The sequence below is a fragment of the Homo sapiens genome, chromosome 4 (assembly GCF_000001405.40).
Source record: "Homo sapiens chromosome 4, GRCh38.p14 Primary Assembly".
Classification (NCBI taxonomy): Eukaryota; Metazoa; Chordata; class Mammalia; order Primates; family Hominidae; genus Homo; species Homo sapiens.
The window spans coordinates 11,423,171-11,434,619 of NC_000004.12; the positions used below are offsets into that span (position 1 = coordinate 11,423,171).

The 11,449-nt window shown below is 45.1% G+C and overlaps 1 protein-coding gene across 2 annotated transcripts in view, besides 2 other annotated features; it reads right to left on the reverse strand.

Annotated features, from left to right (window-relative positions):
* The window catches only part of HS3ST1 (heparan sulfate-glucosamine 3-sulfotransferase 1), a 41,178-nt gene extending 30,021 nt beyond the window's left edge, over nt 1-11,157 (reverse strand). Inside the window, exon 1 of one of the 2 annotated variants that reach the window (XM_011513913.4) lies at nt 6,255-11,157. The gene's annotated coding sequence lies outside the window, so the exon portion shown is untranslated. Of the gene's footprint in view, nt 1-5,528; nt 5,725-6,254 lie in introns of those variants that run through there. The other variant, NM_005114.4, reaches the window with a different exon arrangement.
* Nucleotides 5,380-5,599: an enhancer, noted in NCBI's record as "active region_21321". NCBI's record gives its function as "activates an Ori minimal core promoter by ATAC-STARR-seq in GM12878 lymphoblastoid cells {active_cell/tissue: GM12878}" and the evidence as "EXISTENCE:reporter gene assay evidence [ECO:0000049][PMID:35858748]".
* Nucleotides 5,690-5,869: a silencer, noted in NCBI's record as "silent region_15283". NCBI's record gives its function as "represses an Ori minimal core promoter by ATAC-STARR-seq in GM12878 lymphoblastoid cells {active_cell/tissue: GM12878}" and the evidence as "EXISTENCE:reporter gene assay evidence [ECO:0000049][PMID:35858748]".
* Nucleotides 11,158-11,449: the final 292 nt, after the last annotated feature.

An 11,449-nucleotide genomic window follows, 5' to 3' on the forward strand; every position in this document is an offset into this window, starting at 1 on the left:
ATAATTTCCTTGCAGAGTAGTCCTTGACTGGTTTTGTTCATCAATGTACTCTAACACGTAATGCAATGCCGGGTACATGGCAGACAATAAACGTGCTCAATAGTCAGTTTTATTAAAATTGAGAGTATAGCTCAATATCCAAAACTACCCAATGGATGATAGACCCAGGATACAATCAAACTCCCACATAGAAAATATTTTATGTTGGATAATGAAATTTAACTTTGGGTTATGTTGAGCCAGAGACTGAACTGCAGGCTCCCTGGCTAACAGCCTAAGGTTTCTCCCCAGTATCCTGATATTTCCTATCACTTTCCTCTAGTTTTTATTTTTTAATCCTTAGCACATCACTATCTAACTAGGAGAGATTCTGCTTATCTGTCTTGTGTTTTGTCTGTCTCCTCTGCTGGAAGATAAGCACAAGGGCGAGGACTTCCATCTGTTTTGTTCCCTACTGTGTCACCGGTGAGCAGAACAATATGCGGTACATGGCTGGAACTCAATAAACGTGTTAAAGGAGTAAACATGATTGCTGTAACCACTTGCAGAGATAGGAAGAAGGAACATCCCGAACAGAGGTTCACTCTGTAAACAGTAACTAACTAGAGCACTGTCTGTGCTCCATGTCCCTACACTCTTGCCTCGATATTCTGAACAACATGCCCTCCTGAATTTCATATTCCAAATTTCCCTCATATCCCTGGAAACCAGAGGCCATACATTGGAGGCCTGTGTGACAGATATAAGGCTTACACACAGAAATGTTTGGTTTGGCCCACATGGTGTTATTTAGGAATATCGAATTAGCTGCTGGCACTTGAAAGTGAGTAGATTTTACATAAAACTGTGAATTGACAGTCTATCTTGAAAAAAAAAAAAAAAAAAAAACATAACCAGGTCTGGCAAGACCAGACCTGAAGTCCCGCCTGCAGCCCCTGTGCTGGATCTGGGCTACAACCCCCACTTACCCAGGCACAGGGCCCAAGTCCTGTTCCACTCAAGCTGTTACTTGCCTGGCTGCTGAAGACATTAGAGTTTGCGACCCCTGCTGGAAAACTACCAAAAAGCATAATGTATTAGAGAAAAAGAAAGATGCCCACTGGGATCTATTTCTGTTATGTTTAGAGTATTGCTTGGAAGAATAATGTATTCATTTTTCTAGACCTCTTGTAGTAGCACATAACTATTGACAAACTACGGCCCAGTAGATATTATTCTAACGATCTGAAAAAGCTACAGACTTCATTCCCCATGGGTAGAGGAAGCTAAGGATGTTTCATGCTGGAGACAGGCCTGAAGATGAATGGGGAGAAGCTGTACATCAGTGGGTTGCAATTCTGGCTAAGTCAGGGAGAAAGGGAATTCACTTGAAGACTATGGGTTGCCTCTAGGAATTGCTGAGAAGCTGAAAAGCCAGGATTGGAAAATGAGAAGGAATGAAAGGAACCTGGGCACCAGAGGCACATCAAGATGGTGTTGCAGAAAAGGCACCTCTGGGACCACAGCTTGGGACATGCATACTGCTGCCAACGCCACTTGATCCATGATCCAAGGTGGTAAATAAACACTCCAATGTCCCTGTGCCCTTTAGCTAGTCTTTCAAGATTCCAGGCCCCAGGTGGGATCATTCAACTAAGCCCTAGTTCAGGGCTGGGAGATATGGACAAGGAGAAAGAGGCCCATCTCCCACAAAAAAAAAAAAAAATCCTTCTATGAAGGGAAGGTTGTGTTCCCTAAATAGGATGTTTGGTTCCAACTGCTTAGAAGGGTTTTAAGTGAGTCTGAAGAGAGAGGGCACTACAAGCACGACTGTAGAGTGGAATAAGAACAGACAGGCCTGAATTCTAGTCTGGAATCCTTTGTACCTTTAGAAAATTAATTAAGTTTTCCGATCGGCAGATTCCAAATCCTTAAAATAGAAATGACGCCATCTGCTCTCCAAGGTTGCTGTGAAGATTCAGTCCAATCACTCATTCAATTATTCCAAATATACTTATTGAATGTCTAAGTGCCAGGCAGGCACTGAGTTAGGTTCTGGAGACACGTTTGGAACAACACCTAAAATGCAATGATGAGGAGCCAGTGCATTATGCTGATGAAAGATTCAGACAAGGGGGACCCGGGTCATCTCGTGACACTGGTCATGTTTTACTTTTCCCCAGTGGAGTCACTCCCCATTTGTGACTTTTCTCCTTTTTTAAAAAAATTATTAATTAACATCAGGGCCCTCTCTTCAAACAGATTTTCTTAAGACATGTAATGTGTATTATGTTAAAAGGAAAAACACTCTAAAAATTGACTGTGATCCTGAAAACAAGAAAGGAATCATTCTGAGAAGTAGTGAGGCCCGGTGCTTGTAGCATTCAGGTGGAGTGATCACAAGAAGAGACTGGCCAATTAAAAGAAATCTCTCCCACTTAATGTTTAGCATATGTCATTTACTCAGACATATGCAAACTATGATTAAAATGAACATTAAAATAGATCTACGATAAAACTTAATTTTTTGTATTTTTTACCCTTTACAATTGCACAAGTGTTCTCCAATCGGCAAGATGCATTTCATATACATTTTCTCACTTTCTTATAATAATCTTTTCATCACTGTTTTGCAGAGGAAGAAATTTAGGGTCAGGGAGGGAGAAATTGTTGCCCAAGGTCATGGGGCAAGAAGTTGGCTTTAAATCCAGCTAGCACTCTCCTGCCTTCTGCCATAAGAAAAGAGCAGCCTCAATTGAAAGCACCAGGTCAAGTAGCCAGGTTGAGGGGAAAAAAACTGGGAATAGCCCTGATATTTTCCAGCACTAGCTGGAAAGTTACTGCATTTCCCTGGAAGCTGCTAAAAAGTTACCACTCTCCTGCAACAACTGTCTCTAACACAGGGACCCAGGCTTAGATGCAGGCCCGGAAACCTGGTGCCTGAGCACTGACCCAGCCTACAGGCTCAATTTCATCAGGACACCAGATACATCTTACTGTGCCTTCCTCCAAACTTTAGCCCCCATAGACAGACATGATTTAGCAACCACGGTGGGGATATGCCATTGTGGGTAGCTGCTATGTTCTCAGAAAGGCAGTGTGCATGAGTGAAGCAATTTACACCACCCAGGCCATCTTTCTAGCCCCTTCCTAGTCACCATCGAGTTTCAATTCAAGGCAAGAGAAGCTTCCATGTGGCTTTTCCCTTCAGAGGCCCCCCCCCCAACCCTCACAAGATTTTTCCAGTAAAATAATTTCTTATTTTAATAAGAAAAGTACATGCTCCAACTTTTAGGGGGACCCAGGGGGGGGGCTTGAGGCTTCATTCTAGACATAACCACAGGAAAGTAAAGAACCCTTTGCTTTTTCCGATGCCATCTCAAGATGCCAATTTCTCACCAGCTTCTCAGAACAAAAATCTCCTATCTTAAAACTACAGAGCATTGTATACCCTGTGGCATCACAGAGGATCCACAGTCTAGAAGCACAGCTTAATAAGCCTCACTAAGGAATCTTCATCTATGCTGCTGTTGTAATTAACTGCTTCCACTTAAGAGTGCTTAGTCATGAAGTTGTCCATCCCTGTCAAACTCAGCTGAAAGAGTTAGATGGGCTAACCAAAACCTGGAAAGACTCTTTTAGAAGCTGTTCTTTCTCTGCTTAGCGCTGGAGAAAACCTTATGTAACACAATGGTCCATTTCAATATGTTATTTCTGCAATCCTGTGGGGGAAAATCTAAGCGCTGGATGTACAACGGGAAGGGTAAGGCAGGGATTTGCAGCGGAGCGCGCGTCTCCTGGAATTTCAGTAGGTAAGGCTTATTCTAATTGCACCCAGTGTTACCCAATATTACCAGGAATGCAGAAAGCAAGAAAAAAATCCGAACGTCAAAGGATGCGCTTTGCTTTAGAAATGCAGGGAGGCAGAAGTTGGGTTATTTCTCCCTCCTTTTTTTTTCTTTTTTTTTTAAAGATGGAATTCCTGGAATTAACCCTTGGGTGGAAGCATTTCAACAAAATAAAATGAGATTTGCCTGCAAAGCGAGAACGCACGGGTGGGAATGAAGGATCCTGCCTGTGCCAGGCTGCTGCCTCAGCAGTGTCCAAGCACCCAGCGCCTGAAAGCGGGAGCGTGGGGACTCGTCTGGGGACCCTCTTCCGGGGCTACTGGCGGGAGGCGCAGCCGAGCTGGTGGTGGCGGGGTTTCCCTCCGGGGCTAGGGCTGAGGGAGGAGAAGAGGGCGGACTGGCTCCTTCCGTTCTCGGCCACCCTCCCCGCCACTCCTTGAGGCTGCTCCATGCTAACAGGAGACTGTTTCTCGGAGCGCAGCGCAAAGACAGTGGATTTGGAGTGGCCTCCCTAGAATCCCCCCAAAAGCATCTTGGCACAAGTTGTAGATAAAAATAGCTCATGATAACATTGTGGGAAAGGGAGGAGCGAGACTCGCGCAAGGCGAGGCAAGGGTACCACTGGATCTGCAAAGGAGGAGGAAGAGGGAGGATGCAACCCTTGGCCCAAGAGAGCGCCCTGAGTGTGCGAGGAATCGCTGGCTCCCAGGGGAGGGAAAGAGATGGAAGACCTATAGCGCCTATAACTGCAGAGTTATAGACCTATAACTGCAGAGCCCAGCACACCCCATCCCGCGCCGGCACCCGGCTTTGGCTCCAGCTTCTTCTTCCCATCATCCGCCTACGTTCTGGGTCTGTCCTCCGCTTCCTGGGACAGGCTGGGGCTAGAAGGAGGAGCAGCGCGCCGTCCGCCCCCTGGCTGGTAGAGCGCACCTGGAGAGGTCAAGCTCCGCGAATAAGACCCTTCCTGGGAGCTGGGGTCTAGGCGTTCCAACCGCGGGTTCGCACCCCGCCATCCCTCACCTCCATCCGCTGCCACTACCCAAGGGCCCGGAAATAGAAAACCACGAAGGGGGAAAAAAATCAGTAAAAAGTAACAAGAAAAAAATCAAGACCCTCATGTAATTGGCATTAGGGATGAGAGGTTTATTGTCAGGGCTGTCACCTCAATCTCTCTCTTTGGGAGATGCCTATCTCCAACCAAATGCAAAGGCAAACCCGACCAAGGCTTCTCCACCCCCAAAGGCTCCCTCAGCCGAGTTACTTTTGCGGGCTGTGTCCTCGCCCCAGTTTCTGGCCCCAGGTGGTACCCAGGATCCGTTGAGTGCTGCGCTCTCGCTGCCCTACAGGGTCCTATGGTGAAGCTGCGGTCGCGAAGCGGCCGGCAGGAGCGAACCTCACGACTCTGCAGGGGGGGAAAACATCCAACCCAGTAAGAGTCAGAAATCTGGGTCCCTGTCCTTACAGATCAACCGGTCCCTCGGGACTTCCAGAGCAGAGGTGCTAGGGCAGGAGGTGAGGAGGATGGGAAAATCCCCAGCCTTTGCTTCCTGGTTCCCTCTGCATCCACTCCACCTGCTCCAGCCTCGATTCTTCTTAGGTTCTGCACTTGCCCGAAGTCCAGAACGCCAGACAAAGGCACCTCGGAGCCCTCTACACCTGCGTCCTGCCACTCTCCCACCCCGCGCGCGCCGCACTCACCTGAGCCGCGCCTCTGTCCAGCCCGTCCGGCGCCCTAAATAGGCTCCTAGGCTGGGCCATGGGCAGCACTGCCGAGCACCCGCGGCGGGTAGAGCAAGTTTCTGGATGGCCCGGGGCAGGCGGGCGGGGAGAAGGCGCAGGCACCCACTGAGACCCGGCTGTCGTGGCGGCGACTCCTGGCTGCCAGGGCGCAGAGGACCTTGCAGGCGGGCGTTTTGGTGCTCAATCCCGAGGAGGGGGAGGAGCGGGAGGAGGAGCGGGAGCAAAAGGAGGGGACGGAGGAGGCCGGGCCCGGAGGGAGAGCGCGTTGGGCAGAGGAGGATCGCGAGCGCCCACTGCTGCCCGGCCCGCTCGGGTGCCGCCCAGAGTCCGGCCCGCTAGGTGCCTGGTGCTCCGCTCTGCGCTCAGCTGCTCCGCACAGCCCCGCCTGGCACGCAGCTCCAGCGGCTGGTCGGGTAGTAGTCGGTCCCGCCCACCCGGTGCGGTGGCCCCTGGGGTTTCAGTCCAAGGGGAGGGACCAGCGCTCCAAGAAGGTGAGGCTGCTGGGATGGGTGACTCCGCCGTCACTGCAAACACGGGACGTCCCGTCTACTCCCTTACGCCTGCTTGGTCTGAGCCCGAGTCTACCTCTTCTCTAAGTCGCCAGCTCGGCACTTGTACCCGGGACCTGTGCTCCTCCCACGTGAGTCTGCACCATGCGTATTCCCTTCCTGGCAGGTGACCCACCTTAGGCGCTGGCGCTCCTTCCGCCCCCCGGGAAGCAGGAGGTGCCATCCTCTCCAATTCGCTCTGCAGCCGGACTGGGACCGGAGCGGCGGCCTGGGCCAGAATCCGCGTGAGGAGCCGGCTTCAAAGAGCGCCCTGTCGCCATTGAACACTCCTTTTCCTTTGGTTTAGCGTCGGAGAGCGGACGCCAATTTGCCAGGAGAGCGCGGAAAATTCAGCTTTTTTTTTTTTTTTTTTTTTTTTTTTTTTCCGCTAGTGCACTAGGATTGCAAACGTCAGCTCTGAAATAAAAAGCAGGATATTTCTGCCCCGCTCCTCTATTCCGGAAGCTGGGAGGTTCTGTGGGAGAAAGGACCTGCACCCAATAACTCAATTTAAGATTTAAGGTTTTGAGGGGCGTGGGGTTGGAATCGCCTTGGAGAAACGGGTTTGCCTGCTTACCTGAGCCAAAGGAAGTTGCCCTCAAAGGCAGGTCAGCAATCATACCCCGCCAAAAGCAAATGCACATCAAAGTAACTTCCTTTAAATGAGATTACTGTAGTTTCCATGTCTTCCACATTAGTAAATAAATATTTGGAAGACTTCGAATTTGTGATTTACGTTTAAATATATTTCACCAACATTGTTTAATTAAAAAAAAATCCCATCTAAGAGAAGGTTCCTATAGGAAATTGGCCCTTTAACTCATACACAGATTACCCTCGGCACTTTCAGAAAACAACACAGTGACCAGTATATTCTGTCTTTTTGATACAGCCAGAAGCACCCTGAAAGCTGAGACCTAACTGTGCTTTTGGAAAATAAGCTTTTAGGAGTTGAATGACCTTGTCTACTTCTTTTAGTCAGAATAATGTTGGCATGTCTATTTTAGGTTAAAAAAAAATACAAATTCTAAAAAGTGACTTTAAAGGCCCACTTTGAAAGCCTTAGCATTTAAACTAACATTAGATTTAAAAGAAGGGCTTTTCTCCCCCATTATAGGAAGCTGTGTAAAATCATGTGTGAGGTTGTGAGGGTCAAATGGAAGTCTAAGATAAAGTTCTGCCAATTACTGGTGTCTTTAAGCTTCCACCAGCAGCCAAGCACAGTGCAGATCATGAGTCCTTCAAAATACGGGGTGGTTTTAATGCTCTAAGTTGGTATGATTACTTTTTCTAAAGAGCTCAAAGTGCTTTGGTGCCATAGTATGAATTTCATTACCCATTGTGAGACACAAAGGGGGTTAGCAATGATTCTGTTTGCACCCTGGAAGCCAAAGGCAGGTTACTCACCCACTTAGTTCCCTACCACAAGACCTTGAAAGAAACTGGAACCCCAGGTCTCCAGCCCAGAGATTTTGTTGGAAGTTTCCATTTGCAGGAAATGACTGCAGGGCACATGTGGGAAGTGACAGGAATTTGAGGACTAACATTTTAGTTTTCCTCATTTCTTTTTAAATCTGAGCAATTGTTCATTGATCGATAATCTATGTTCTTACATTCAGATAAATAAAAACACCAACTGGCTATTTTGTTCTTACTTAGTTTTATGTGTATGTCCAGGCATTTGCCACTGCTCCTAAATAGCTCTCCCTGAAGTCTTCTGGTCATGAGTTAGGTTTCTTATCCAGAAGCTCATGTAGTGCCAGAGCTTAGCTCTCCTATGACAACACAATCACATTATTGAAACATCTATTTAGGGATCTGTCTTCTCTAATAGATTATAAACGCCTTGAGCTTGGGTATCGTGATTTAATGATGAATCCTCCATGGTATCTGAATCCCAGAATCCTACAATCCTGCATGGTATCTGAAACATACTATGCTCTTAAAAAAAAAAAAAAAAAACTTTGTAAATGGAACTTCCCTCAAGGAGTCAGGGTTTAAGTCAAACATGTTTCCCTTTCAAAGCCGTGGGCATGAGAATAGAGGCTGTTAGGAGACACAGTAGTAGTTGACTGCAAAAGTGTCTGTCAGTCAGTTGTGTGGCCCAAGACTCTTTTTATCAGTTCCAACAACTGAAAAATGAGAGGGTTTTAGTGGAAGATCTCTGTACTGCTAATATTTTAAGATCTCGAAGTCTTTATTGAGCACCTAGTATGTGTACAACACTATGCCAGTTACTAAGAGAGAGATGAAAAAATAAGATATCTCCATTGCCCTAAGAGAGCATAAAATCTTATCTCAAGGAAAAACAAGGCAAACACTCCTAGCCTACCTTTACAGACACGCACAGACATGAGTTAACACAGTTGTAAACTGTTCTAAAGAAGATAAAGGCTCAAGGAGTGAAAAGGCATGAAATAGAAACAAAAGCAACTGACCTATGAGTTTGGGCAATAATCAGTAATAATACCAGCTAAAGTGTATCTAAGGCTTATAGTGCCAGGTACTATGCAAAATGAATCATAGGAGCTGCACCTTTTGTTCATTTTACAAATGGGGAAACGGAGGTTTAGGAGAGTTTAGTGACTCGTTCAAGGTGACATACTAATAAGTGGTAGGGCTGATATTCAAAGAGTTCTCACCTGACTCCAAAGTGCATCTTCTCAACCAATATTAGAGATTATTAGCCCAGACTTCCCTATTTTATAATTGAGGGATTTCATTAGAGCACTAGAGGAGGAAGCTACCCTTCCAGTAAAAACTAGACTCCTAGTCTAGTGCTCTATGTAATTAAGTAATATGCTTATGTTTGCTATTTTTCTGGTTTTTCTCTTTCCCACAAAATATGTAATAGGAGACGGGAGGTCAGGAAAAGGGGAGAGAGAGAAAAAGAGAGAAGTTGCTTCTTTTGAAGATGTCCAGAATCCACAGTAGTCTACCTGCTCAGACTCAATGGGGTTTTATTTGTAACCCCCAGTCTAGTGGGCAGCCCTGTATAGCCTTTCTTCCCATCATGGCTGTTTGAATCTTTCAGGTTAATAGCATGAATATTAAAGACTCCAGTGGGACTCTTTATCCACAAAGGAAATTGGGATCAGGTTAAAAATCCAATTTTAATAAACTTTCCAAGTCCTGATTTAGATGAGGTACTAATGGCTCTTACTGCTGAATCACCTTAAAAGTCAAATGTATTTTTAAAAGGGAAGCTTGTTGGGTATTGTTTAATTGTGCATTGCACATTCCTGTCTTAATAGAAAAAGATCATCTGTAAAACTTATGAGAGCAGATAGGAAATGCCACTATCCACAGAGCCAGTTGGGTAGAGGGAAGGGCGTTGGGTTTGAAAGATAATTTTCACTCGTTTGACCAAAACAAAGAGAGCATGATTGCACTGTGTGAAAATGATATCCTCGAATAACTCCACTAATTTGATTGTGCTGAGGTCTAGAATTGTTTCTATTTCTTTTGATTTGCTAATTAGCTAGAGCAGTCCGCTAGTGAGAGGGGAAATGAGGGTCACAGCCATAAAACATGGAGGATTGTTGTTCCTTCCAACTCAGCTCACCCATCTCATGCCTCCCCAACCATCCCGTCCCAACGCCCAATTTTGTCTCTGTGTATGTAACAACAATCCATCCATCTATGACAAATTGAGTGATTCTTTTCTGAAAACAGGATTTTTAAGATTATCTACTTTATGACACCAAATTTGACACATCTTGGCATATGTGGTTATGAGGTCCAGTTATGACTTTTATGATGTTTTCCTTTATGAATCCTGCTCCCTGCCTTGCCAAGTTAAAATTATATCTTATGATTACATTAGTATAAAGGTGAGTATATTTTCTTCTTTATTTAAATATCTTCTTTAATCTAAAAGTTTATCTTTTTCTGATTTTTAGAAGAAATTAAATCATTTTTGGGAAGCCCTCAAGGTACCATAAGCTCTGGGCAGTGTGCCTAAGACTTCTAATGGAGAATTTAGCCCTGTGCAGATGATATTGCAGAGGAGGAATGCTTAGTTAATTTAGGTAAAGTATGCACAGTAAATACAATTTCATAAAAAAGCTTATAGTCTATGGTGTTATGTAAACAACTATAGACAAATAGAATATTGCTTTTATTTGTTATCCTGTGTTAAACTGTGGCCAAAATTACACACATCAGTGTTAGAAAAATTGCAGTATTGCAGGCTTGAAGTGGTCCCCTTGTTCAAATTACTGGCCCCTGCTGAGTGCTGGAATACCTTCAGGGCGATGGAAAATTGTGGCACTCTCTTTGATTTTAGATTTTGGGACCAAAGCTGGCTGATCTTTTGATGAGTCGGTCTTAATGATTTGCTCTTTTAGGCCTTATTCAAGGATACTGGGAACCTCACACTCTTCAGAAAAAAAAAAGTTTTCCTCCTGGCAGGCCTATCAGTTCAGTTGAATCAATATGTATTAGGTACCTCCCATATAGCAGCCTGTGTGCTAGGTACATGGGTAGAGATTTATTAAGAAGAATGAAATTCAATCCCTTACTTAGGAGCTCACAGATGTGCATTAACAGAAAAATTACAATTCAATCTAATCATTCTCATGAGTCCCTAGTTCCATTTGTAATAGAAGGTCCAAGGAGCATTTGAACTGTGACTCTCAGACCCTTACCTCTTACTCTGAACTCTCAACTTCAATCAGCACATGCTGTTTCTAGCAGCTCTCTTCTGTCTTGGAGTCCTCACTGAAGTCCTCTAGAGTATGTCCCTATTGTCCCTGAAAACTGATGGTGCTGGCTTTTCCTTTCAAAGCCTTGTTTTAATTCTAGATTTAAAATAGCACTAATGCCACAAGAAGTCTCTTACACAATGGTAGAGTTCTCTTTCCATAGACTTTGGAACACTGTTCTTTTGGAAATGTTTACAATGACACTTATAAGAACTGGCTATATATATATTAATCTGCTTTGTGGTGGAAATAAATATTTTGTAGAATGCTTTGAAGCTTAGGCAATTAGTTCTTTTTAACAAAAATTAATTTAATTTTCTTTTAAGTTCCAGGATACCTGTGCAGGACATGACATGCAGGTTTGTCATGTAGGTAAACATGTGCCATGGTGGTTTGCTGCACCTGTCGACCCATCACCTAGGTATTAAGCCCCACATGCATTAGCTATTTTTCCTGATGTTCTCCCTCCCTCCACCCCCTTGACAGGCCACAGTGTGTGTTGTTCCCCTCCCTGTGTCCATGAGTTCTCATTGTTCAGCTCCCACTTATAAGTGAGAACATGTGACGTTTGGCTTTCTGTTCCTGTGTTAGTCTGTGGAGGATATTGGCTTCCAGCTCCAACCAT